General features: G+C 43.6%; 1 protein-coding gene and 2 long non-coding RNA genes across 45 annotated transcripts in view, besides 6 other annotated features; 1 reads left to right on the top strand and 2 right to left on the bottom strand.

Annotated features, from left to right (window-relative positions):
- Positions 1-24,293, top strand: part of A2ML1-AS1 (A2ML1 antisense RNA 1) — a 55,096-nt gene extending 30,803 nt beyond the window's left edge. The window contains exon 2 of the long non-coding RNA NR_046715.1: positions 24,120-24,293. This is a non-coding gene — a long non-coding RNA (A2ML1 antisense RNA 1). The remainder of the gene's footprint in view (positions 1-24,119) is intronic.
- On the bottom strand, positions 2,255-12,251 carry LINC02972 (long intergenic non-protein coding RNA 2972). Its single transcript, NR_186118.1, has 3 exons — positions 11,744-12,251; positions 4,277-6,199; positions 2,255-2,706 (listed from the first exon to the last, which is right to left on the bottom strand). It is a non-coding gene; the product is annotated as a long intergenic non-protein coding RNA 2972 (long non-coding RNA).
- Positions 4,532-5,142: an enhancer, noted in NCBI's record as "H3K27ac hESC enhancer chr12:8947958-8948568 (GRCh37/hg19 assembly coordinates)". NCBI's record gives its function as "activates a minimal SCP1, AML or CMV promoter by ChIP-STARR-seq in naive H9 embryonic stem cells {active_cell/tissue: H9 hESC(naive)}" and the evidence as "EXISTENCE:reporter gene assay evidence [ECO:0000049][PMID:30033119]".
- Positions 9,846-10,523: an enhancer, noted in NCBI's record as "NANOG-H3K27ac hESC enhancer chr12:8942577-8943254 (GRCh37/hg19 assembly coordinates)". NCBI's record gives its function as "activates a minimal SCP1, AML or CMV promoter by ChIP-STARR-seq in primed H9 embryonic stem cells {active_cell/tissue: H9 hESC(primed)}" and the evidence as "EXISTENCE:reporter gene assay evidence [ECO:0000049][PMID:30033119]".
- Positions 10,524-11,201: an enhancer, noted in NCBI's record as "NANOG-H3K27ac hESC enhancer chr12:8941899-8942576 (GRCh37/hg19 assembly coordinates)". NCBI's record gives its function as "activates a minimal SCP1, AML or CMV promoter by ChIP-STARR-seq in primed H9 embryonic stem cells {active_cell/tissue: H9 hESC(primed)}" and the evidence as "EXISTENCE:reporter gene assay evidence [ECO:0000049][PMID:30033119]".
- Positions 11,280-11,819: an enhancer, noted in NCBI's record as "NANOG-H3K27ac-H3K4me1 hESC enhancer chr12:8941281-8941820 (GRCh37/hg19 assembly coordinates)". NCBI's record gives its function as "activates a minimal SCP1, AML or CMV promoter by ChIP-STARR-seq in naive H9 embryonic stem cells {active_cell/tissue: H9 hESC(naive)}" and the evidence as "EXISTENCE:reporter gene assay evidence [ECO:0000049][PMID:30033119]".
- Positions 11,820-12,359: an enhancer, noted in NCBI's record as "NANOG-H3K27ac-H3K4me1 hESC enhancer chr12:8940741-8941280 (GRCh37/hg19 assembly coordinates)". NCBI's record gives its function as "activates a minimal SCP1, AML or CMV promoter by ChIP-STARR-seq in naive H9 embryonic stem cells {active_cell/tissue: H9 hESC(naive)}" and the evidence as "EXISTENCE:reporter gene assay evidence [ECO:0000049][PMID:30033119]".
- Positions 12,360-12,899: an enhancer, noted in NCBI's record as "NANOG-H3K27ac-H3K4me1 hESC enhancer chr12:8940201-8940740 (GRCh37/hg19 assembly coordinates)". NCBI's record gives its function as "activates a minimal SCP1, AML or CMV promoter by ChIP-STARR-seq in naive H9 embryonic stem cells {active_cell/tissue: H9 hESC(naive)}" and the evidence as "EXISTENCE:reporter gene assay evidence [ECO:0000049][PMID:30033119]".
- RIMKLB (ribosomal modification protein rimK like family member B) overlaps positions 17,413-27,300 on the bottom strand; it is a 114,454-nt gene continuing 104,566 nt past the window's right edge. For 10 of the 43 annotated variants that reach the window (XM_047429188.1, XM_017019684.2, XM_047429191.1 and 7 more), the window contains 2 exons: positions 19,765-27,183; positions 17,413-17,592 (listed from right to left, as the gene is read on the bottom strand). In XM_047429188.1, coding sequence (XP_047285144.1) covers positions 26,720-27,183 — 464 coding nt within the window. In that variant the 3' untranslated portion in view covers positions 17,413-17,592; positions 19,765-26,719. Of the gene's footprint in view, positions 17,593-19,764; positions 27,184-27,300 lie in introns of those variants that run through there. The other 33 variants (NM_001352267.2, NM_001352268.2, NM_020734.5 and 30 more) reach the window with 15 other exon arrangements.

Below are 27,300 nucleotides of genomic sequence, written 5' to 3'. Positions count from 1 at the left end.
GTTTAAGTTCTTTGTAGATTCTGGATATTAGCCCTTTGTCAGATGGGCTAATATCTGACATTATTATTGTAAACATTTTCTCTCATTCTGTAGGATGCCTGTTCACTCTGATGGTAGTTTCTTTTGCTGTGCAGAAGCTCTTTAGTTTAATTAGATCCCATTGGTTAATTTTGGCTTTTGTTGCCATTGTTTTTGGTGTTTTAGTCATGAAGTCCTTGCCCATGCCTATGGCCTGCATGTATTGCCTAGGTTTTCTTCGAGGGTTTTTATGGTTTTAGGTCTAATATTTAAGTCTTTAATCCATCTTGAATTAATTTTTGTACAAGGTGTAAGGAAAGGGTCCAGTTTCAGCTTTCTACGTATGGCTAGCCAGTTTTCCCAGCACCATTTATTAAATAGGGAATCCTTTCCCCATTTCTTGTTTTTGTCAGGTTTGTCAAAGATCAGACAGTCGTAGATGTGTGGTATTATTTCTGAGGACTCTATTCTGTTCCATTGGTCTATATCTCTGTTTTGGTGCCAGTACCATGCTGTTTTGGTTACTGTATCCTTGTAGTATAGTTTTAAATCACGTAGTGTGATGCCTCCAGCTTTGTTCTTTCAGCTTAGGATTGACTTGGCGATGTGGGCTCTTTTTTTGGTTCCATATGAACTTTAAAGTAGTTTTTTCCAATTCTGTGAAGAAAGTCACTGGTAGCTTGATGGGGATGACATTGAATCTATAAATTACCATGGGCAGTATGGCTGTGTTGCACAGGCTAGCCTCAAACTCCTGAACTCAAGTGACCCTCCTGTCTCAGCCTCGCAAATAGCTGGGACTATAGAAATATGCCACTGTGCCTGTCTCCTATTCTCTTTTCTTGTATTAGAATTTTGTGGCTGCATGTTACAAATGTAAGCAAAGGAGAAAAATCCATCAGGCATAGTGGCTCACATCTGTAATCCCAGTACTTTGGGAGACTGAGGTGGGAGGATTGCTTGAGGCCAGGAGTTTGAGATCAGTCTGGGCAACATAGCAAGACCCTACCTCTATAAAAATAAAATTTTCAAAATTAGCCACGTGTGGTGGTGCATGCCTATAGTCCCAGCTACTCAGGAAGGTGAAGCAGGAGAATCTCTTGAGCCCAGGAGGTTGAGGCTGCAGTGAGCTTTGATCACATCATTGCACTCTAGCCTGGGTGACAGAGTGAGACCCTGTCTCAAAAAATGGTGGCGGGGGAGGGGGGAGTGAGAATTTATTGGAAGAATACTGAGTTATTTCATTTAACTAAGCCAAGGAAATAAATTATTGTAGAAACAAATAATAAAATTTTATGTTGCTGTTTAAAAAATTGAGACAGCAGTATACCTGCTTGTATGGCAAGACAGTCAAGATGTAATGTTAAGTTAGGGAATACTGCTTATATCATGATCCCACTGGGTTAAGAAATGTTTATAAATGGATATACAAATTTTGGAAGTATATGCAAGTAAATATTAACAATGATTTCTGTAGGGAGTAAGGTCACCAGAACGGGAGGGGTGTCAGTGGATTTTACCTTCATTTATTCTCTTCTTGAGAACTATTTGTACATTGTGAGCTTTGACAGCCATAGAGGTATGCCACCCAGACCTCCCTTAAGAAAACCTGCTGTAAAATGGTGCAGCTGCTATGGAAAACAGCATGGAAGTTTCTCCAAAAATACAACTACGATATGATTCAGCAATACTACTTCTGGGTATTTATCAAAAAACAAACAAACAAACAAACAAATACACACACAAAACTTGAAATCGAGATCTTGGATGTCTGCCCTTCCGTGTTCATTTGCAGCACTATTCTTAGCCAAGGACTGGAAACAACCTAAAGTCTATTGACCAATGAATGGATTTAAAAAATGTAGTATATACACACATGGAATATTATTCAGCTTTAAAAAAGGAAATCCTGCAATATGCAACAACATAATGAACTTGAGGACATTATGCTAAGAGAATAAGCCAGTCCCAGAAGGATAAATACTCCATGACTCCACTTATATGAGGTCTCTAAAATACTCAAACTTATAGAAACAGAGAGTAGAATGGTGGTTGCAGGAAATGGGAAGTTGCTAATCAATGGATATAACATTTCAATTATGCAAGGTGAATTCTAGAGCTCTGCTATACAATATTGTGCCTGTAGATGACAATACTGCATTGTGCGCTTAAAATGCCATTGAGTAGAACTCATGTTAGGTGTTCTTGCCACAGTAAAACAATGTTAATGCATACATAATGAAAATTATTTTTTAATTCATGTCAAAGAAAAACAGAGAAGGAAGGAAAGAAGGAAGGAAGGAAGGCAGGCAGGCAGGCAGGCCTCTATGAGAAACATAGTTCCCTGGCCAGCCTCTAGCTGCTGTTTTTTTTGTGGGGGAGTGGGGATGGAGTCTCACTCTGTTGCCCAGGTTGAAGTGCAGTGGTACAATCTCAGCTCACTGCAACCTCTGCCTGCCAGGTTCAAGCGATTCTCCTGCTTCAGCCTCCTGAGTAGCTGGGGTTACAAGCATGAACCACCATGTTTGGCTAATTTTTTCTTTTTCTTTCTTTCTTTCTTTCTTTCTTTCTTTCTTTCTTTCTTTCTTTTTTTTTTGAGACAGATTCTTGCTCCGTAGCCCGAGCTAGAGTGCAGTGGTGCAATCTTGGCTCATTACAACCTCCGTCTCCCAGGTTCAAGTGATTCTCCTGCCTCAGCCTCCTGAGTAGCTGGGACTACAGTGGCGAGCCACCATGCCCAGCTAGTTTTTGTATTTTTAGTAGAGACGGGGTTTCACTGTGTTGGTCAGGCTGGTCTCGAACTCCTGACCTCAGGTGATCTGCCTGCATCGGCCTCCCAAAGTGCTGGGATTACAGGCATGAGCCACTGTGCCCGGCCACGCCTGGCTAATTTTTTGTATTTTTAGTAGAGAAAGGGTTTCACCATGTTGGCTAGTCTGGTTTCAAACTCCTGACCTCAAGTGATTTGCCTGCCTTGGGCTCTCAAAGTGCTAGGATTACAGGTGTGAGCCATCATGCCCAGCCAGCTGCCATTTTTGGATCCACCTCAGTTCTCACACTGAGGCCACTTTCTGGTTTACTTCCACTCAATGACTGCACACAGTAGGGGTACTAAGTGTGAGGTACATAATACACAGCCACTGATTTAGTAAATGCATTTTTTCCCCTACTTCTATCAGGAAAGAGACTAGAAATAGTTCACATCCATGTGGGACGACAATATTTACTCAGTTTTGCCCCAAGAATAATATTTGCTCCTTTGATGATAAAATGTGAATTATAGGCTGTTATAGTTTGGATATTTGTCCCCACCCACATCTCATGTTGAATTGTAATCCCCAGTGCTGAATGTGGGGCCTGCCCAGAGGTGTTTGGATCATGGGGGTGGATCCCTCATAGCTTGGTACTGTCTTTTCAGTTCTCTCGAGATCTAGTCATTTAAAAGTGTGTAGCATCTGCCCCCTGACCTTGTTCCTGCTTTCACCATGTGATGTGCCTGCTTCCCCTTTGCCTTCTGCCACGATTGGAAGTTTCCTGAGGCCTCCCCAGAAGCAGATGCTGCTATGCTTCCTGTACAGCCTGTAGAACCATGAGCCAATTAAACCTCTTTTCTTATAAATTACCCAGTCTCAGCTATTTCTGTATAGCAATCTAAGAGAAAATTGGCACCGGGGTGGGGAATTACTATAAAGATACCTGAAAATGTGGAAGTCATTTTGGAACTATGTAACAGGCAGAGGCTGAAAGAGTTTGGAAGGCTCAGAAAAAGACAGGAAGATGAGGGAAGGTTTAAAACTTCTTAGAGACTGGTTAAATTGTTGTGACCAAAATGCTGATAGTGATATGGACAGCGAGATCCAAGCTGCTGAGTCTCAGATGGAAATGATGAAGAAAGTTGGAGCTTACATTTAAAAGGGAAGCAGAATATAAAAGTTTGGAAATTTTGTAGTCTGCCCATGTGGCAAAGAAAGAAAAAGCTTTCTCAAAAGAGGGATACAAGCAGGCTGTGGAGCAACCACTTGCTAGAGATATTTGCGTAATTAAAAAGGAGTGAGGCCGGGCGCGGTGGTTCACCCCTGTAATCCCAGCACTTTGGGAGGCCGAGGCTGGCGGATCATGAGGTCAGGAGATAGCGACCATCCTGGCTAACACGGTGAAACCCCATCTCTACTAAAAATACAAAAAATTAACCAGGTTCAGTGGCGGGTGCCTGTAGTCCCAGCTACTCGGGAGTCTGGGGCAGGAGAATGGTATGAACCTGGGAGGCGGAGCTTGCAGTGAGCCGAGATCGCGCCACTGCACTCCGGCCTGGGCAAAAGAGCGAGACTCCGTCTAAAAAAAAAAGGAGCCAGTGCTAATGTGTCTGGAATTGGTGGGTTCTTGGTCACACTGACTTCAAGAATGAAACTGCGGACCCTTGCGGTGAGTGTTACAGCTCTTAAGGTGGTGTGTCTGGAGTTTGTTCCTTCTGATGTTCGGATGTGTTCGGAGTTTCTTCCTTCTGGTGGGTTCGTGGTCTCGCTGGCTCAGGAGTGAAGCTGCAGACCTTTGCGGTGAGTGTTACAGCTCTTAAGGCGGCACATCTGGAGTTGTTCGTTCCTCCCGGCGGGCTCGTGGTCTCGCTGGCTTCAGGAGTGAAGCTGCAGGCCTTCGTGGTGAGTGTTACAGCTCATAAAAGCAGCATGGACCCAAAGAGTGAGCAGTAGCAAGATTTATTGCAAAGAGCAAAAGAACAAAGCTTCCACAGTGTGGAAGGGGACCCAAGCGGGTTGCCACTGCTGGCTGGGGCAGCCTGGTTTCATTCTCTTATCTGGCCCCACCCACGTCCTGCTGATTGGTAGAGCCCAGTGGTCTGTTTTGACAGGGCGCTGATTGGTGCGTTTACAATCCCTGAGCTGGATACAAAGGTTCTCCACGTCCCCATCAGATTAGATACAGAGTATCCACACAAAGGTTCTCCAAGGCCCCACCAGAGCAGATAGATACAGAGTGTCCATTGGTGCACTCACAAACCCTGAGCTAGACACAGGGTGCTGATTGGTGTGTTTACAAACCTTGAGCTAGATACAGAGTGCCGATTGGTGTATTTACAATCCCTGAGCTAGACATAAAGGTTCTTCACGGCCCCACCAGAGCAGCTAGATACAGAGTGTCAATTGGTGCACTCACAAACCCTGAGCTAGACACAGGGTGCTGACTGGTGTGTTTACAAACCTTGAGCTAGATACAGAGTGCCGATTGGTGTATTTATGTCTAGCTCAGGGATTGTAAAGGTTCTCCAAAGCCCCACCAGATTCAGGAGCCCAGCTGGCTTCACCCGGTGAATCCCGCACCGGGGCTGCAGGTGGAGCTGCCTGCCAGTCCCCTGCGTGCGCCCGCACTCCTCAGCCCTTGGGTGGTCGATGGGACTGGGTGCCGTGGAGCAGGGGGTGGCGCTCGTCGAGGAGGCTCGGGCCGCACAGGAGCCCATGGAGGGGGTGTGGGAGGCTCAGGCATGGCGGGCTGCAGGTCCCAAGCCCTGCCCCATGGGAAGGCGGCTAAGGCCCGGTGAGAAATCGAGTGCAGCGCCGGTGGGCTGGCACTGCTGGGGGACCCAGTACACCCTTCACAGCTGCTGGCCCAGGTACTAAGCCCCTCACTGCCCGGGGCCGGCAGGGCCGGCTGGCTGCTCTGAGTGCAGGGCCCGCCAAGCCCACGCCCGCCCGGAACTCCAGCTGGCCCGCAAGCGCCGCACGCAGCCCCAGTTCCCGCTTGAGCCTCTCCCTCCACACCTCCCTGGAAGCTGAGGGAGCCGGCTCTGGCCTTGGCCAGCCCAGAAAGGGGCTCCCACAGTGCAGCGGTGGGCTGAAGCGCTCCTCAAGTGCCACCAAAGTGGGAGCCCGGGCAGAGGAGGTGCCAAGAGTGAGTGAGGGCTGAGGACTGCCAGCATGCTGTCACCTCTCAATCCCCCCTCTAAACAGGACACCCCAACTGCTGTTGGGAATTTGGCCGATGACCGCTCTAGCTACTTCCTGCTGGATGGGGTGAAGAAGGGGCCTTGCAGTTGTAGTGTCCTTCAGAGGGGAACTCTAGGCCAGGGGAAGTGCCAGTGGGTCGGTCCAGGGGCCCTTGGTAGAAGTTGTTAGTTGAACTCATTTTGGGTTCCATTTGTAAGCCCATCTGTAGCTTGATGGCCTTGATTCTAGAGGAAACAAATTTGACAAGAAGGTTAAAAATACAGGGCCTAAAGGCGAGTAACAGCAAGATGGCTACCACGGGACCTAGAAAGGGGAGAAGCCATGTTGCCCAACTCCAGAGGTTGGTATAAGAATTTGAAAGGCGTTGTCTGATTTCAGAAGCCTTTTCCTGTAAACGCTGGGCAGCATCTTGTACTATCCCTGACTGGTTAGTGTAAAAACAACACTCTTCCCCTAAGAAGGTGCAGAGTCCTCCTTTCTCAGCAGTGAGGAGGTCTAGGCCTCGGTAGTTTTGGAGAGTCACTGCTGCCAAAGAGTCTATTTGGGATTGTAAAGTAAGGATAGATTTCGTTATTTCTTGCAAACTGTCTGAGAGGCAGATATGGGTTGAAGATCCACATAAGTAGAATATGCCTTGGCTGGGTAGATAGACGTTTACCCCGGCTTTTAAAGGAATAGGGTACACTGTTTTTTCTTTACTACTTCCATCTCTTTTTCTCTCCTTGACTTTGTCTTTCTGTCTCTCTTTCACTCTGACTGCTTCTCTTTGTTTCTTACTCTCTGTCTCTTTCTTTGACTTCCTGTCTCTTCCTTCCTTTCTGCTGCCTCTGCCAGCTGCTTATGTTGCTGTTCTCCCCTCTCCTTCCCATTTTGATGGCTTTGTCAGTGTAAGATTCCCACCTCTTTGTGTTTTTGCATTGTGTGCAATAACTCTATAATTTCCTTGTGGTATTTAATGGGGGTTTCCCCAGAGGTTAGGAACTCCCTATTTCCATATTGCAGCATAGGCATGTAGGATTAGATAAGCATACTTGCTATCTGTATACACATTTATTCTTTTTCCCTTTCCCAGTTTTAAGGCTTGGGTAAGTGCCACTAGTTCTGCTAACTGGGTACTGATCCCTGGGGCAAGAGGCTTACTTTCAAGTATGGTTACATCACTAACTATGGCGTAACCTGCCCTTCGTGTCCCATTCTCCACAACTGAACTTCCATTGGTATATAGGTTAAGGTCAGGATTAGTTAAGGGGACTTCTAAGAGATCATCTCGGGCGGCATAAGTCTGGACTATAATTTGTTGGCAGTCATGCTCAATTGGTTCCCCATCCTCTGGGAGAAAAGTGGCAGGGTTGAGGGCCACACACATGTGTATTTGAAGCACCGGTCCCTCAAGGAGTAGTACCTGGTATCTAAGTAGGTGGTTGTCTGATAGCCATAAACTTCCTTTGGCACCTAGTATGCCATTTACATCATGAGTAGTCCAGACAGTGAGATGCTTTCCTTGTATTATTTTGATAGCCTCTGACGCTAAGACGGCCACTGCTGCAACTACCCTTAAACAGTGAGGCCAGCCTTTTGCTACTACATCAATTTCCTTACTTAGGTATGCCACTGGTTGTGGGGTTGTCCCACGAGTCTGAGTAAGGACTCCAAGAGCTATCCTGGCTCTCTCTGTGACGTATAAAGAGAAGTTCTGTCCTGTGGGAAGGCTTAAAGCTGGAGCTTGTACTAGGGCCGGCTTTAAGGTTTTGAAGGCTGTTTCTGCCTCTGGTTCCCATTCTACTAGATGAGTATTTGCCCTCTGGGTTTCCTTGATTGGAGTATAGAGGGGCCTGGCTATCTCACTGTATCCGGGGATCCATAGTTGGCAAAGCCGGTAATTCCAAGGAACCCCCTCAACTGTTTTAAAGTCTTAGGGTGAGAATAAGCCAGTATAGGCTGTATTTGTTCCTTGCTGAGGGCCCTGGTCCCTCTGGCTAAGATTAGGCCTAGATATTTGACCTGCTGTAGGGAAAGCTGGGCCTTCGACCTAGACACCTTGTACCTTTGATTAGCTAGAAAGTTCAAGAGGTCTAGAGTAGCCTGCTGGCATGAGGCTTCTGAACTGGTAGCGAAAAGTAAATCATCTGCATATTGAAGGACCAGAGTGCCTCGACTTGAGAAGTGGCCTAGATCTTGGGCCAGTGCCTGACCAAACAGATAAGGGCTATCCCTAAACCCTTGGGGCAAGACCATCCACGTAATTTGGGACGTGTGGTCTGTGGGATCCTCAAAAGCAAAGAGGAACTGGGAGTCAGAGTGCAGGGGAATACAGAAGAAGGCATCCTTGAGGTCCAGAACCATGAACCATTCTGCTTCCTCTGGTGTTTGAGAGAGCAGGGTATAGGGGTTGGGTACAACTGGATATAGTGGAACTACTGCCTCATTAATGAGTCTAAGATCTTGCACTAGTCTCCACTGACCGTTCGGTTTTTGTACTCCTAGAATTGGGGTGTTGCAGTGACTGCTGCATTTCCTTACTAAGCCTGGAGCTTTCAAATGTTTAACAATATTCTGTAATCCTTTATGAACTTCAGGCCTTAAGGGATATTGCCTTTGATAAGGAAAAGTGGTGGGATCTTTTAACTTGATTTGGACTGGGCAGGCATTTTTTTGCCCTTCCAAACTGTCCTTCTAATTCCCAGACTTCAGGGTTGATTCCCTCCTCATGTAGGGGACAACAAATGGGTAACTTGTTCCCCATATTCATGTAGATAATAGCTCCAGCCTTGGCTAATATATCCCTCCCTAATAAGGGTGTGGGACTTTCAGGCATAACAAGAAAGGCATGTGAAAAGAGCCAAGTCTCCCAATTACAACTGAGGAGGTGGGAGAAATACCTGGTTACAGGCTGTCCCAGGATTCCTCGGATGGTAACGGACCTTGAGGACAGTCGTCCAGGACAGGAGATTAACACTGAGAAGGCGGCGCCAGTGTCCAGGAGGAAGTCAATTTCCTGGCCCTCAATAGTTGAACATACCTGGGGATCAGTGAGGGTGATGACATGAGCTGGCACTTGCCCTGGGCCCCCTCAGTCCTGTTGTTGGATCATCTGGTTGGGGGCTTCTGACCCAGGGAACCTTCGTCCTCTGGGGCAGTGCACCTTCCAGTGATTGCCTCAGCATAGTGGACATGGACAAGGGGGCAGCTTGTTTCTCATTGGACAATCTTTTTTAAAGTGTCCTAGTAAACCACACTGATAACAAGCCCTACCAGGTGATTGGCCTGCTCCATTTTCTGTCCTCTCTGAACCACCAAGGTTTGCTTGTCTGAGGGCCATGACTAAGGCTGCAGCCTTTCTCTGATCTCGCTTTTCCTTTTGGGCCTGTTCCTCTTGGTCCCTATTATAGAACACTGAGGTTGCCAGGTTTAATAATGACTCTAGGTTTTGTTCAGGGCCCAGGGCTTGCTTTTGGAGCTTTCTCCTGATATCTGAGGCTGATTGGGTAATAAACTTATCTTTCAGAATCAATTGACCCTCGAGTGATTCGGGTGACAGGGGAGTATATTTTCTTAAGGCCTCTCGTAGCCACTCAAGGAAGGCAGGAGGATTTTCTTCTTTTCCCTGAGTTATGGTGGATATCATGGAATAATTCATGGGCTTTTTCTAATTCTCCTTAGTCCTTCTAGAACACAGGTCAACAGATGTTTACAACTCCAGTCCCCATGATCTGAGTCAAGGTCCCAGTGGGGATCCATACTGGGGATGGCTTGCTGACCGGTAGGGAATTTGTCCCTTTCTTCGGCTGTCATTCTATCATTTACTTGACTAAGATACCAGGTATCTCCAAGCTCTCGGGCTGCAGCTAAAGCCACATTCTTTTCCTTAAAGGCCAGGGTTTTATCTAACAGTAGCATGACATCTCTCCAAATGAGGTAAAAGGTTTGCCCTAGACCCTGTAGGAAATCTATGTACCTATCAGGATCATCTGAAAACTTCCCCAGGTCTGCCTTGACCTGCTTTAAATCAGAGAGGGAGAAGGGGACATGTAGCTGGGTTGGGCCAAATTCCCCTCCCCCTACAGCTTAAGGGGACATAACCGATAGCCTGGGGGTTTTTGTGGACCTTTGGAGATTTCTTTGCTTATTTCCTTCTGGGCAGGGGAGATTAGAGGAGGATTATCATTCATAGGAAGGGGAGCTATAGGGAGGCTAGGATATGGGGGTAAGCTGAAAGGTCCTCCTGTGGGATGTAAATTGCAAGCTTTGCATAGTTGTGTATTCACCTTCAATGAAAAGAAAGCTTGGACATAAGGTATTTCACTCCATTTGCCTTCCCTCTTACAGAAAAGGTCAAGCTGCAGGATAGTATTGTAATTTGTACTTCCCTCAGGTGGCCATTTTTCCTCATCAGAGAGAGAATATTGGGCCCAAGCCATAGTGCAGAAAAAAATGAGCCGCCTCTTTTTCAAGGTTTGTGGATCAAATTGGTCCCAATGGCTTAGGATGCATTTCAAGGGTGAGCCTGTTGATGCCTGAGTGTTTCCCATCTGAAAGACAAAACCGCCCACAGTTTTGGTTTGTTTCTCCCCCTGCCCAAGAACCCACAAAGGTCCCTGGACCCTGCTGATCGGAATAGTTGCGCTCACCGACGCAGCAGCAGAAACAACCCCTGCCCAAGAACCAGCAACAGTCCCAGGACCCTGCTGATCGGAATAGTTGCGCTCACCGATGCAGCAACAGAAACACTAGTTTTCCTCCCAGACCACATGGAGGACCAAGGAACGTTGGATTTAGTGGTCCTTACTGATGCAGTCTTGAAAACCTGCACCCTTGCCTGTCCTCCTAGACCACAAGGAGGACTGACCGAGAAAAATCGGATTTGGTGGCCCTTACCGACACATTCTCAAAAACCTGTCAGAGTCCTAAGCATTCTCCTGTCAGTATTGGTACTTTACCCCTTTCCTATAAAGATGTTATGCCCCAAAAATGAAGTGGAGGGCCATGCCCTGAGGGAGGGAAGGGATCTTCAGGATTGGAAGAGTGACACCTTTTGTCCTCGCTTACATGAATAGGAAGGATACAATTTCTGAGGCTCCCCATATCCTAGCTTCAGGAATAGCTTTTGTTAGGCCTGTTAGTCTGAGGAGGGATCCTAAAATTCCAGGTAGTCCCCACTACAATGGGGCTTTGGGCAAAAATTGTGTCTTTCTGATTGGTGAGCCCGGGTGCCTACAGAAAGTAGCAGAGACCTGGAGTTTATACTAGAAATCATTCTTATAGGAGAAACTAGAAAAGCACCAGAGACAGGTAGCAATTTTTAGAAGCAGGACTAACCTCAGAGAAGAGAGGCGAGAGGAAGTTTGTCTGGCAGGCATTAGGACCCAGGGGGCAAGGGTCAGGATAGATAGGATAGATGGGCGAGTCTCACTTGGGCGACAGGCCTTTGAGAGTTCCACTCATGGCCGCAGGGTCAACCAACTTGTTGTCGGGACCCTGGAGCTGCATGGCTTTCCTCTCTGTCGACCCTTGGCTCAGCCCAGAAGTACAGGAAAAGTGGAAGCTGGTGCTAGGCAAACCAATGGTCCCAACTCTGAAGAGTTGGGGTTGTTAGCCCTTTCCCAGAAAGCCTGACACCCATGTCTTTAGTCCGGCAGCCGTGCTAGTCACTTTTAACTGGCCGACAGGTGCCCGGTATTTAGCCCCCGAATTCTAAGGAAAGATAGGACAGAATAGCAAGTGAAAGGGGTCCGTGGTACTCACTGCTTGGTGATAGGTGATGGTCTCGCCGCTCAGCTATAGGTGATGGTCTCACCGCTCAGCTATAGGTGATGGTCTCACCGCTTGGTGATAGGCGAAAGTCCCATCTGGGTCGCCAAAATGTGTCCGGAATTGGTGGGTTCTTGGTCTCACTGACTTCAAGAATGAAACTGCGGACCCTTGCGGTGAGTGTTACAGCTCTTAAGGTGGTGCGTCTGGAGTTTGTTCCTTCTGATGTTCGGATGTGTTCGGAGTTTCTTCCTTCTGGTGGGTTCGTGGTCTCGCTGGCTCAGGAGTGAAGCTGCAGACCTTTGCGGTGAGTGTTACAGCTCTTAAGGCGGCACATCTGGAGTTGTTCGTTCCTCCCGGCGGGCTCGTGGTCTCGCTGGCTTCAGGAGTGAAGCTGCAGGCCTTCGTGGTGAGTGTTACAGCTCATAAAAGCAGCATGGACCCAAAGAGTGAGCAGTAGCAAGATTTATTGCAAAGAGCAAAAGAACAAAGCTTCCACAGTGTGGAAGGGGACCCAAGCGGGTTGCCACTGCTGGCTGGGGCAGCCTGGTTTCATTCTCTTATCTGGCCCCACCCACGTCCTGCTGATTGGTAGAGCCCAGTGGTCTGTTTTGACAGGGCGCTGATTGGTGCGTTTACAATCCCTGAGCTGGATACAAAGGTTCTCCACGTCCCCATCAGATTAGATACAGAGTATCCACACAAAGGTTCTCCAAGGCCCCACCAGAGCAGATAGATACAGAGTGTCCATTGGTGCACTCACAAACCCTGAGCTAGACACAGGGTGCTGATTGGTGTGTTTACAAACCTTGAGCTAGATACAGAGTGCCGATTGGTGTATTTACAATCCCTGAGCTAGACATAAAGGTTCTTCACGGCCCCACCAGAGCAGCTAGATACAGAGTGTCAATTGGTGCACTCACAAACCCTGAGCTAGACACAGGGTGCTGACTGGTGTGTTTACAAACCTTGAGCTAGATACAGAGTGCCGATTGGTGTATTTATGTCTAGCTCAGGGATTGTAAAGGTTCTCCAAAGCCCCACCAGATTCAGGAGCCCAGCTGGCTTCACCCGGTGAATCCCGCACCGGGGCTGCAGGTGGAGCTGCCTGCCAGTCCCCTGCGTGCGCCCGCACTCCTCAGCCCTTGGGTGGTCGATGGGACTGGGTGCCGTGGAGCAGGGGGTGGCCCTCGTCGAGGAGACTCGGGCTGCACAGGAGCCCATGGAGGGGGTGGGAGGCTCAGGCGTGGCGGGCTGCAGGTCCGGAGCCCTGCCCCACGGGAAGGCAGCTAAGGCCCAGCGAGAAATCGAGCACAGTGCCAGAGGGCTGGCACTGCTGGGGGACCTAGTACACCCTCCGCAGCTGCTGGCCCAGGTGCTAAGCCCCTCATTGCCCAGGGCCCGCAGGGCCGGCCGGCTGCTCCGAGTGCAGGGCCCGCCAAGCCCACGCCCGCCCGGAACTCCAGCTGGCCCACAAGCGCCGCGCGTAGCCCCGGTTCCCGCTCGCGCCTCTCCCTCCACACCTCCCTGCAAGCTGAGGGAGCCGGCTCTGGCCTTGGCCGGCCCAGAAAGGGGCTCCCACAGTGCAGCGGTGGGTTGAAGGGCTCCTCAAGTGCCACCAAATTGGGAGCCCAGGCAGAGGAGGCGCCAAGAGGGAGCGAGGGCTGTGAGGACCACCAACATGCTGTCACCTCTCACTAACAGTCAAGACAATGAAAAAAGGCCTTGAATACATTTCAGAGACCTATGCAGCAGCCCCTTCTATTGCAGGCCCTGAGACCTAGGAGGGGAGAATGATTTCATGGGCCAGGCCCAGAGCTCCACTGCCCTGCACAGCCTTGGGACACTGCTCCCTACCTCTCGGAAGCTCCAGCTCCAGCCAGGGTTCAAAGGGGCCGAAGTACAGCTTAAGCTACCACTTTGGATAATACAAGTTGTAAATGGCTTCCACATGGTGTTAAGCCTGCAAGTACAAAGAGTGCAAGAGTGGTGGGTTCTTGGCAGCCTCTGCCTAGATTTCAGAGGATGTATGGAAAAGCCTGGGTGTTCAGGCAGAAACCTGCTGCAGCAGTGGAGCCCACATAAAGAACCTCTACTAGGGTAGTGCGGAGGGGAAATGTGGGATTGGAGGCCCCACATGGAGTCCCTTCTGGGGCATTGCCTTGTGGAGCTGTGAGAAGAGGGCCACCATCCTCCAGACCCAAGAATGGTAGATGCACCTGCAGCTTGCACCCTGAGCCTGAAAAGGCCACAGGCACTCAACAACCTGTGAGAGCACCTGAGAGGGGTGAACCCTGCAAAGACACAGGGGCAGAACTGCCCAAGGCCTTGGGAGTCCATCCCTGCCAGCAGTGTGCCCTGGATATGGAATATGGAGTCTAAGATTTAATGACTGCCCTGCTAGGTTTTGAACTTGGATGGGCTCTGTAACCCTTCTTTTGGCCTATTTGTCCCACTTGGAACAAAAATGTTTAGCCAATACCCAAACCCCCATTGTATCTTCAAAGTAAATAACTTGTTTTGATTTTACAGGCTCATAGGTAGAAGGAACTCATTTCCACATAAGAATTTGGATTTGAAACTTGGAACTTTTGAATGAATGCTGGAATGAGTTAAGACTTTGCGGGGACTGTTGGGAAGGCGTAATTGTACTTCGTAATGTGAGGACGAGATTTGGGAGGGGCTGGGATGGAATGATATAGTTTGCATATTTGTCTCTGCCCAAATCTCATGTTGAACTGTAATCCCCAATGCTAAAGGTGGGGCCTCGTGGGAGGTGTTTGGGCCGTAGGCGCAGATCCTGCGTAGCTTGCTGCTGTCTTCATGACAGTGAGTTCTCTGGAGATCTGGTCATGTGTGTGGCATCTTCCCCCATTGGCTCCTGCTTTCACCATGTGATGTACCTGCTCTGTCTTTGGCTTCCGCCATGAAATGCAAGCTTCCTGAGGCCTCCCCTCAGGAAGGAAGATGCTGCTATGCTTCCTGTAGGAACATGAGCCAATTCTTTTCTTGTAAATTAACCAGTCTCAGGTATTTCTTTATAGCAATGCAAGAATGGCCTAATACGTGGGCCATCTGGGCATTCCATAGAACATTACATCAATGACATCATGCTAAATAAGCAAAATGAATGTAAGGTAGCTAGCACACCGGAAGCCTTGCTATGTGTCCCAGGTGAGAGAGAAACTCTACATAGATTTGGGGATCTGCAATTCCTTTTTTTTTTTTTTTATTTTAAGATGGAGTTTTGCTCTTGTCGCCCAGGCTGGAGTGCAATGGTACGATCTCGGCTCACTGCAACCTCCGCCTCCTGGGTTCAAGCAATTCTCCTGCCTCAGCCTCCCAAGTAGCTGGGACTACAGGTGCGCGCCACCACGCCTGGCTAATTTTTGTATTTTTAGTAGAGACAGGGTTTCACCATCTTGGCCAGGCTGGTCTCAAACTCCTGACCTCATGATCCACCCGCCTCGGCCTCCCAAAGTGCTGGGATTACAGGCTTTGTAATCCCAGAGCCACCGGGTGAGCCAATGCTCCCGGCCAGGATCTGCCATTCCTTTAAGGGTTCTAGGAGACCAGGGGACATGGGCATGCTGGAATACTCTACAAAGTAAAAAGACACACTACATTTTGCATCACCTGCTACAAGGAAGCAAGCACTGTAACTCTGGGGTTCTCTAGATTCAGAAAGCAAGACATTCCACCTAGAAACACTACTCCAACCCATATAGTAAATGACATGAAAAAAATGTTAGGCTTGAGTAGGGCCTTGGAGCAAGAAAGGGCTGTTGAAAATTAAGATTCAGGCTATGATGCAAGCAGCCCTACAAACTGGACCACATGATCTGATAAACTTTATAGTATAAGAGGGTATCAGTGGCAGGAAAAGATGCAATGTGATGTGGAGTTTATATCAGAAGCTCATGGAACTGTGGAGGGGCTACCCAAAGGTGTAAAGTGGATCTGTGCAGTGTTAAGGAGTGGAATTGTGCCACTCAGTTCTCAAGAAAACTGGATGCAAGTAACAAATCTGACAGCCACCAGCTGCTAGTCCTCCTGATCTGTTACAGCACTCACATGAAAACCATGTGTTCTCCCCAGGCTGCTCTGGACTAGTAGTCAGGCCATCTCTGCCCAATCTGGGACTGCTCTTAATAGGTAATCTGCTCTGAGATTCCTCATCAGGCTGGGAGACTCTCAGAGCAGCTGAGGTTTGAGTTCTCTTCTCTCTCTTCTGTCACATGCACATTGCATTCTGAAGGCCTTCCCTGCCTACTGATCCCTCTCCCTTGTATCCCTCACAGGCATTTCCCTCAGTACAGCTCTAGTGTATCTGACTCCACCTTGGTGTCTGCCTTTTGGAGGATCCAAGGTGACACTACCATGCATGCTTTAACAATAAACTTGTTAAATGATGATAATCAAAGTGTTTTTTTTTGAGACAGGGTCTTACTCTGTTACCCAGGCTGCAGTGCAATGGCATGATCATGGCTCACTGCAGCCTCGATCTCCTGGGCTCAGGTGATCCTGCCACCTCAGCCTCCTGAGTAGCTGGGACAAGTGTGCACCACCACGCTGGGCTCATTTTTTTGTAGACACCGGATTTTACCATGTTGCCCAGGCTGGTCTTGAACTCCTGGGCTCAAGTGAGCCGCCCACCTCAACCTACCAGTGTTGGCATCACAGGCGTGAGGCACCATGCCCAGCTAAGGCTTTTCAAGCGATTCTCCTGCCTCAGCCTCCTGAGTAGCTGAGATTATGCGCCACCATGCCTGGCTGATTTTTATATATATAATTTTTAGTAGAGATAGATAGGGTTTCACCATGTTGGTCAGGCTGGTCTCGAACTCTTTGACCTCAAGCAATCTGCTCACCTGGGCCTCCCAAAGTGCTGGATTACAGGCGTAGGCCACCATGCCCAGCATCATGCTTTTTTTTTTTTTTTTTTTGGTGACGGAGTCTCACTCTGTCGCCCAGGCTGGAGTGCAGTGGTGTGTTCTTGGCTCACTGCAACCTCTGCCTCCCGGGCTCAAGGGATTCTGCCTCAGCTTCCCAAGTAGCTGGAATTACAGGTGCCCGCTACCATGCCCCACTAATTTTTTGTATTCTTAGTAGAGACAGGGTTTCCAGGCCAGGCTGGTCTTGAACTCCTGACCTCAAATGATCTGCCCGCCTCAGCCTCCCAAAGTGTTGGGATTGCAGGCATGAGCTACCGTGTCCGGCCATTAAATTTTAATAAGATAGTTGCCATTGCGTTGCAATTGTCTACAGTATTCACATGCTCTACAGGATAGTAGCTTACAAGCAGTAAGCTATACCACATAGCCCAGGTGTATAGTAGGCTGTACCATATAGGTGTAAGTACACTCTATGATGTTCAGGGTGAAATTTTTAAAAAGTTTGCATTTCTTCAGAGATTAAAAAGTACAGCAACAACTATTCAGCATGGACAGATAAAAGTGTGATTAAAAAGGACAGGGGAAAATCCATTGAATAGTGCTCACCTATGTGCCAAAAGAGGAGTAATCATTTTAGAAGGTATCATAGAAATCAGTCTGTTAAGAACCAAAGGACTCAAGAGCAAAAGGCGAAGAGTAGAAAAAAAGGGAATGACATGTGGAGCTAGAAATCAAGTCTAGATATCTGGACCAAAGTGAACTGATATAAAGAACAAGTCACACGGCATGCTATGTTATTTCCAGCGCATAGTGTCTTTATTTAGAAAACAGACGGAATCAAACAGGTTGGAGTTATTGCTTTCTTGTTCTGTATATTCATATTCTCCACTTGAAAAAGCACACAGTCAAATCTATCTTCATCCATTCTGTTGATGAGGGTAAGCAAAAAAGATCACTGGTTACTTCAAAAGAACCTAGGGGGGAAAAACACAACTTATTTAAATCATAGATTTTAAAAGTCTCTATAACCAGGATAAGAAAAAATACAAATAAAGACAGAAAATCAACTAACATGACAATAAAACATTCTAAATTGATTAGACTACCAAAAACCACAGTTTTGTGTTATTATCACTTTGTCTTGGTGAGCTCAGTTAACAAAGATATACTCTGATTCTGACTTAGAAGACATTTAATGTTCTTATCATTAAAAAATAAAAGCTAAATCTATTACTGTTTTACAAGAGCAACCTTATTTCCCAAATTTATTTGACTCTCCTTCAGGAAAAACTATTCTAACTCCCTGGAAATTGTTCTCTCTAGTGAGTGAACAGTCGCAAGTTCAATTTATAGGTCCATAATATTTTCTACTTAATTAAGATGCTGACACCAAAACAGCCAAAATGTGCTTCCTTTTCTAATCTGCAAGTTTTGTGACTTATTTTAGACAGCTTATGTTAAATATATATATGTGTGTGTGTATAAAACCACAAAGATGTCTCCGTACTATTACTCCTTAGCAATCCTATAATAAAGACAATTATGCTGCATTTTAGTCAGAAAAATTGTACCAAAAGAAAAAATCTAACAAAAATTCCTTGTAGAACATACAAAATAAAACAAAATTATTGTGCCAATATGCCTAGACAAACAAAATTCAAGTTAAATGCTCTCTTGTGTTCCAGGTTAACTTAACAATAAATTACAGAAAAAAACAATTTTTGATTCAGATTAAAACTCAAGTTTATCATTTTCTTTCAGTTCTAAAGCATTAAAATTTTTATATAGTAATCAAAATTACTGTTCTGTCACCCAGGCTCAAGTACAGTAGAGAAAGAGTGAGACCCTGTCTCAAGGAAAAAAGGAAAAAAAAAAAAAGCTGAAATAAGATAAGAACCATATGCCTTTCATTTCTGTCCAACTGATCATACACAGCTTGGTTGCCAGAAACAACAGATACTATAGTTAAATAAGTAGTTGGGTGAATAAACAGGTCTGCATCTTATAAATTTAATTGACATTTACATTCTATAAATTTAATTGAAATTTACATTCTTTAATTCTAGAGAACTTCAAAGTATCATTTAATTTCTATTCAGTCTAGTCAAATTCTAATGAAGAATGCAAATGAAAAGTGGGGAGAGAGGGAGGAAGAGAAAGACAGACATGCACACTCTCTTAGGAAAAACAGGCAGGCAGAGATGGAAAATGGCAACATCGGATAATTAAAATTCAGGACTGAATGTGAGAAAAAGCAGCTTACAAACAGACTTGGATAAGGGAGAGGCACAAAGACAGGGAGAGATAGAGGAACAGGGGAAAAGCCCAGCCAGATAAGCAAGAGAGAAAGGTGAACAGGCAGGGTGGAACTGATGGCAGAGTGGAACATGGCACAGTGACAAAGAAATGGGTCTTGACCTAGATAGCCAGCTGGAAGAGATCACGCCACCCTCAGTAATTTTTTTTCCAATTATACTCTTTGTTATCTCCCAAAGCTCCCACTAAAAAGGGAAGAATCTTTTAGTTTTGATTTTTATTTATTTGAGATGGAGTTTTGTTCTTGTTGCCCAGGCTGGAGTGCAGTGACTTGATCTCCACTCACTGCAACCTCTGCCTCCTGGGTTTCAAGCGATTCTCCTGCCTCAGCCTCCCGCGTAGCTGGGATTACAAGTGCCCGCCACCACGTCCAGCTTATTTTTGTATTTTTAGTAGAGATGGGGTTTCTCCATGTTTGCCAGGCTAGTTTTGAACTCCTGACCTCAGGTGATCCACTCTCCTCAGTCTCCCAAAGTGTTAGGATTACAGGCGTGAGCCACAGTACGTGGCCAGAACCTTTTATTTGTATAAAATGATTAACAATGCATATTTTATTTATCTTGCAAATTAAAAACATTCAGATTTACTGTCCACATAATTTTGCCATAATTAAAGGTCACATATACCAACATGCTGAGGAGAAAAATCCTAATTTTACATACTATTAGTTATTATTCAAAGTAAAGAATGACAGTTTACCAGTGAGGTCAAATTCAACGTTAAGGCAAGGACCTACAGGCATTTATGATTACATGCCATAGTACCAATCATATAATTTATATAACATTGCTATCAGACTAAAAACACATTCTTAGTTAAAGATAACTTACCATTTAGAGTCAAAATGCAGGAATCTTAGTCCTGTTTCCATTTTTGTCCCCCTTGCTTCACTTGGTATGTCATGCTCTATCTCTTCTCCTATGCAGACTTTAAGTCAGTAGCCATCAATCTGAAGAATTCCTTCCTCTGCTGCCACCTACCAGTTTAGTTGTCTGCTGCAGCAGAAGGGTATATAGAAAAAGTTCTTGCTTACCATTCAGATTAAATAAGAAAAAATTCCTTTGTTTAACATTTCGTATTTTTGCACATACACCAACTTTTTAATGTTTCTCCAAGACCTTCCCTCCAAAAATAAAAAACAAAAATCTCAATCACATAAAATCAAACACTGTATGATCCATGTTCATGCTAAGCTGGGAAAATTTCCAAAAAAAGTAGAAAGAAAGTGGTAAGATTTAGCCACTCAGCAGCTGCCACCTCAAGAAGCCATTTTCTTGTCTGTTTCCTTCTTTACCTACCCCTACAACCTATGAACAAATACCATAACTTAAAAATTTAGGTAGTCTACAACTCCTACAAATTTTAAGTTCAGAGACTACCCAAAGAACTGTGGAAGATGCAGCAATATAAAAGTTTTTTAAAGTAATTCTAGAAACTAAGGGTGTTAGGTGCTTTACCTGCTTGAGTTTTCAATGTTCTGGACTGCTTATTGCCCAATGGCTCTGAATACATTAAAACACGAACACATACGCCACCTACATTTAAAATAGGGTAGCATTTGTATGCCCATATAAGCAGTGGGTATATTTTTTGCAAAAGAGTAATAAATTCATTAAGTCTTTTAAAAAGGACTGACCATAGATGCACATTTCCTCAAACTGTATACATACATACATAAAAGAATTAGGGGAAAAGGGGAGACAGAATGACAAATGTAATAGCAGTTGTAGAACTGGGCATCAACACAGCATAAACGTCTTCTGTTTGTTCAAATCCTGAGATTCATTTCTATTCCCATTCTTTTTGTCATCTAGGTCTATGTTTCAAATTTATTCTACATTAGCTATTAAGGGACAGTCTCCAGTAAATGAACTAGAAATAGCAGTAATGGCTTGTTTTTGTTCCACCCTCCCACTGCCTTCATCAAGATAAAAATATGTAGTTTTGCCAACTTTAAAAAAATCAGGAAATAAAACAAATACTGACATAAGCACCAAAGACTAGTCAACAGTGGCACTGAAGTGACATTGCTTCTACTTTCTCATTCCTTCCCCCGATCTCAAACCCCACCCTTTGACCTCTGTATATGGGATGAGCCTGAGCAGGAGAGTTGGTGATGTCAGGACTGCGCCGTTCCCACGGATGCTCCTAGAGGCCTGCTGTGCTTCTGGGAACTGAGGCACAGGGATGTCTGTCTGACTGAAACCTAAAACAACAACAGTTCACCCCACCCCTCATGTTCCCAAACCCCACAATAGCAGCCAGGTATATATGCTATATAAGGCTCACCTAATAAGTTTGAATATGGTAAAATCTAAAAGCAAGATCATTCTTAACAAGTCAGTGGTATTCAAACAGGCAGCTGACTGGAGGTTGTTTAACTCTCCATGCCTTATACAATCACATAGTCTGTATGCTCTAATGTTAGCCACTCTTGCTGAGTACAAGGCTCTCCTGAATGAGCCTTTTTTTATTTTTTAGTATACATCACAAATTCTTGCATGAGTGCAGCTGGAAGTAAATTCCAATTCAAATTCCCTCTGTTAGTAAATTCCAATTCAACAGATAAATATTTTTGTCTTAAGATGCTTAAAGGGAATGACTGTCCTTATAAGAGTCAACTGAAGCACAGAACAGGTTAATCACTTATCACATGTCTTCCTTCAGCTACAAGAAATGGCATTACACGCCAAGAATTCCTATTCACTAACTAGTGACTTGCTGGATGTACAGCCTCTTTGGATAGTACGTCCAAAGCCACAGGATGAAATTATGCAGAAGTCTATCTTGAAAAGGTCCTGATTACTTTCACTAAAATTCTACCTATTAGAAAGATGACAATATCCCAAAATAATAAAAGCTCAGAACTAAAACTTTAGGAAGTATAGGAGAAAGGAAGAATGGGTAGGTAGACTGGGGTAAAGACGGAGGAGAGGATAGTTTAGTTTATTACCTAACAGAAAGGCTATTAAAATGGACGAGTTGTAGTCCTATCCCTGACATTTTATGTCCTTGGTTAATGTGCTTAGCCATCTTGTGCTTCAGAAATGTCCTCCTATCTGTTCAAACCTGTAATTTTTGAAGGTTTAAACCATGATTTTCTGATAATCTCAAACTGCTCACATCTCCTTGTTAGAACTAGTATCTTAGAAATGCTAAAACGATTAGTTCTGAAATCACATTGCTCCTAAAAGAACTAAATTTTTTTGTATTATCTTCGTCTTACTATTCCCTTTCACTTTTATAAAGTCACAGAGAGAAGCACTAAGGTAAAATGAATGCTATGTTGAGTTTTTACCATATATATAACCTAGAGCCTAATTTTACCTTTCAAAACTCTAGTTTTCCATACCTGTCAACTCCTAATTGATGTCTTTATACTGTGAGCTCACTGTGTATTCGGAACACCAACCCCTGAAAAAGCTTAAGCCAGAGTAGCACAATGGAAGAAACAAACAAACCCAAAACAAAAACAAAGCCAAAAAATTCACACTCTGAAATACTTAATTATAGACATATATGCAAGAAATGGAGTCATCTAAATGGCTAAACAAAATTCCCAAGTCTTGAGTATATCATAACCAAGTCAAACTTTACCCCCAAAAGCTCTTCTTTAATCATATTATTTGCTAGATACATTTATGCATTATTTTTAAGTGAGAATTATGACAAACCCATGGTTACTTTTTAAAGTACGTAAAGAAAGGAAGTTTTAAAAAAAGAAAGTTAGCCTAGTGATGGAAAGAAAGGAGAAAGAGTTAAATTACCTGTAGGCAGACTGGGGCTGTGCCTGAATCCAAACCGGTGCATTTACCATTCATTATACAGCTGCATTATTGGGGGAAGGGGAGTTTAGAAGGGCACTGACCCCGAAAGTTCTCAATACTTCTCACTCATCATCAGGAAGGGGGAAGAAGGAAAGTTTTTTCTCTGGGTATTTTTTTGTTTGTTTGTATTTGTTTTTTTGGCTCCTGAAAAGGCTGGTAAAGAACAGTAACAGTGCAAGCAGTTAGAATATTTCTTTAAAAACAATGTAAAAAATGCAAAACATTAAGGATCTTCAAAGGCCAAACTTTCATTAATATAGAAAGAATTTTCACTAGAGTTAGGCAGCCACCCCAAAACAGCATGGCAAAATGGCATTGGTATAAAGGAAATAAAATACCACACAAAAATCCAAAACAAAACTAAAAACATTTCAAATTAAACCTGGAAGACTAGAAGATTCCAACAGCAGATTTCTGTCCACTACTGAAACATTCCAAAATCCAAGCTCCAAAGGTGCCTAAATGTATTTTAAATGAAACTTTGTTTTGTTTTTTTAAGAAGAAAAAAAAAAAAAAAAAAAAAAAAAGAAAGCAAGCAAGCAGTCAGTGAACCTGGTTATAAATCCTGCAATATATTACATTTTTTAAAATCCTAGTACAACAAAAACAAATCTTAAATAAAATTGAACAAACAAACAAATAAAAACAGTAGCAGCAGTGGTTACCTGTCTGAGCACCTACATTTTCTTAGGAGGGGATCGTGTCTCACCAGCCAAATAGCCCATAAACCTTCTCAAAAAAAGTGAGCCAGGAGAAAAGTATAACACAAGATTTGATTTCACAATGTCTCTAAGCCCCACAAGCCCCAAACTGGGGATTCACTGAATGAAACAAATTTGCTTCTCCATTGCTTTCTTCTTGAGAAAAAGAGATGATTTTCAAAGTCAATGCCTTCAATATGTTCTCAAAGTCTGATAATGTGCTTGATGAATGCCAAGTCTCTTGTTGGGTTTTTCTACTGTTCCAGGGTAGTTTTCTTATTGGTAACATATACAGGAAGATTTCAATGTTCATTGGAGAAAAGCCAGCAGAAATGACCAATCAATTATAGGCACCAAAAAAGAAAAAAACTATTAAAAATTTTAAATAGAATAGTTCATACTTGTATGTTTAGATATATAAAGTCCAGTTTTCATCATGGGTGACATAAAAACAATATCAGAAATAATCATTTTTGAAATACAATTTAGAATTACAATTTTAACAATATACAAAAATTTTACAATTCAGATTTTATCATTACACATATTTGATATATACATTCTCTCTCATAATAGCAATGAAGATTATACAAAAGTTATTAAACAATTATGAAAATAAGTTTAACCTAAATATCTGCTGCTGTTTGTTTCCTTAAGGTACTTCCAGAATGATTTGCTCTTATTCTCTACCTCAATCTTGAAGGAATTCAAGAAGATATCCATGTTTTTAAAATCTAAGATAACTACTGCTCTTTTCATTCTAACATGTGAGTGTACGTTTTAATATCATGTGAATGCATAATAGTGAATAAAGCTAATGAACTAATTTCACATATTTCCTATAATATAGTTGGTTAATTTGGTATAAGTTAAGAAAAGACTAACTACATTTTTCCTGATGCCTTACCCCACCAACACAAACATGAACTACATACTTGTGATATGTAACTATTCAAAGTGTATGTGTCATAATACACATGGCAACCAGATGGTCTCTATATGAACATATGAATGATAATTTAATTAAGCAGTTCTTTCTTCCTCATTTATTTCTCTATACCAAATAGTATGCATCCTCCACAGTATGGTCATTCAGCGAAAGAAGTACCAAGTATTTCTTTCTGTTAATGAGTCAGAGGTATTAATATATGTATGTGAGTCCCCCATTTACCCTGCGCAAGATAAGTTCTTTTAAATGCAATTAGAATATCCTAAGATAAATTACAAACTCCTCTTATGTATCCTTTTCTCTGAGGTGAAATGAGACACTGCACAGATGAGAGGTACTATTCTATTCATCAACAATCAACCTTTCACTCAATTTTAATATTATTTAATTCTATGGAAAAAACAAATTTTATTACATTCCTTTTTAAAACGGGGGAAAAACTGTACAAGTAAGCATGATCAAACCTCTGTTATAGCTGGTTAATACTGATCTTTTATTATTGCCTCGAAGTCTCTCTAGTAGTGTCCAAGAAATTATGTTTAAGGTCCATCTGAAGGAAAATAGCACTGGAGAGGCAAGAAAGGGCTTGGGTAAAAGCTTCAGAGGATTCGTAGGGAGATGGAAAACTTGCTGTTTAAAAAATTACGTTGGGCTCTGCAGCATCTCCATTTCTTAACATACCATCCAAACCCATCAATGGGATTAGTTTTACCCATGTTTTAAAGGCTCATATTATATGCAGTTTGGGGGCTTTTATAAATTCTGCAAGTAAAGGAATATAAAGAGTGGACAGTATTGAAGGCTTAAGAGTAGGGCTATAAGAGACTCAATACTACTAAATAAGTCCCCAAACAAAAACATCCAACCCACCCCCAATCCCAAATCCTATATGTAAAAAGAGAAAATGCATAGCCAGAAGCATTAAAGAAAAGCATGTAGCCTTGAATAAACTGTACACTGAACAGGCTAGAAACAAAAGGAAAAAAACAAACAACGTACATATACACAAAAAGGCCTAAAAAAGCATCTACTCACCCTATGTTTTAAGGTGAATACCTCTACCCCAGTGGAGTCTACTTATGAAAACAACTCATCTGTTTTTTAAAGTCAAAAACTCTGTTTCCCATCATGCTCCATTTTCTAAATTATCCTTTTTGATTAGTTGATGGAAACAAAAAGCAAAACACATACACATGCATGCGTGCACACACATACACATATACTCCCTCGTAAAATGTGAAAAATGCAAATATATAACGCTGGCATTCGAAATCACTTCAGCTTTATACTTAGAACTCATAGGCTCTTGATTTGCCCCCAAAAATATTTTTCCTTGTCCTTATTTAAATGCCCAACTACCAAAACAAAAAGGGAAAAAATAAAAGGCTTTAAATGTACATGTTTCAAGTCAGTGTCTTGTTAACAAAAAAGGTAGCATTTTCTTCACTTTGGCCATTGTTAAAGATGCAGGCATAGAGCAGGAAATGTTAGACTAGCATGTATTAAAAAAAAAAAAAAAAGCAACATTAACAGAGCACATCTTTCAAAAAAGACTAAAACACTAACAAATACAAGTGAATGCACATATTTTAAACTAGTGTAATTTTATCTACATTGAATTAATGTTATTTTGTATACCGGACATTGCAATACTGTTCATTTCCATTTCATCATGCAAACATGCCAATTTTGTCATTAAGAAGCCTTTATTGGGTTATATTCAATTTGACCTCCCACCAAATTAAGCGGGAAAAAACAAAAAAATAAGAAATCCCAGTAAAAGAGCCCCTCAAGATTTCATAAACTACAAACTAAAGCTGCTAGTTAATAAGGAAATGGCAGAATTTTCAGAGCTGTATAATACAAAAATTCCTGTAATTTATGCAGATGTTTTCCTCACTGATGACAAATCTTCCAACACAATGTGAAGTTATGCTACTTGGATATTTGTAGCAAAACCATTTTTTTTTGTACAAAAACAAAAGCAAGGGACCATGAAAAAAAAAAAGTATTTGTTCCTCATGGCCTATGAGCATACACATTTTTTAGCAATTTAAAAGGGTAACTATGAGAGCCTGACATTTTTCTATACCCCACCTATTCTGCCTCTCTATTTGTAGGATTTGTAAATGAAAGTAACATCTTACTAGCAGAGGTCTCATCTATCTCCCACTCTCTCCAACTAATCCTACTAATTTTCTCTCATCTTCCTGAGCATCCTCCATGAACAGCATTGCAAGTTGGTTTTAAAAATAGAAAAGAAGAAAGAAAGTTTTACAAGGGTTTTGTTGGTTAATTACCAGTGGAGTCAGTCCACCAGTAGTTTGATTTCATTGGCTAGCAGCTGGTTCATGTTGAACAGGCCCCCTGGGAGCTTGGTGAGCAGCTCTCGCTCCGTGCTTTCAGGGTCGCTGTCAACAGAGCTGGAACTTGCACTCATGTTGTCAACAGCAGTGCTGGCTGGGGGACCCAGCTCCGGCTCACTAGTCTCACTGGCAGTGGACACCACGGAGAGCAGGGACATACGCCGGGTGAGCCGGCCAGAGGGTAGAAGGGAGGCGGCATAGTCTGCTATGATACCAGCTACATCTAGATTACAAGCCTTATCAAAGGCGATGAAACCTACATTTGCATTGGCCTCACAGACGCAGAAGGAGCCGTCATCTTTCATCAGCAGATCAATGCCACACACATCCATCCCCAGGATATTAGACACCTGGATAGCTAGCTGCTTCCCTTGTTCACTCAATGAGCACATCATCCCCACACCACCTGGCAAAAGAAACAAGACAGGAAATTAACAAAATCATAAACTTTTGAAATAAAATTAAAGTTGGCCTCCAAGGCTAAGCCTTTCTTCTAAATTAATAGTGAAAACAAAGGCGTTAT

The sequence above is a fragment of the Homo sapiens genome, chromosome 12 (assembly GCF_000001405.40).
Source record: "Homo sapiens chromosome 12, GRCh38.p14 Primary Assembly".
Taxonomy (NCBI): Eukaryota; Metazoa; Chordata; class Mammalia; order Primates; family Hominidae; genus Homo; species Homo sapiens.
Note: the sequence above shows the minus strand (reverse complement) of the source record. Positions and strands in the feature narration are given on the sequence as shown.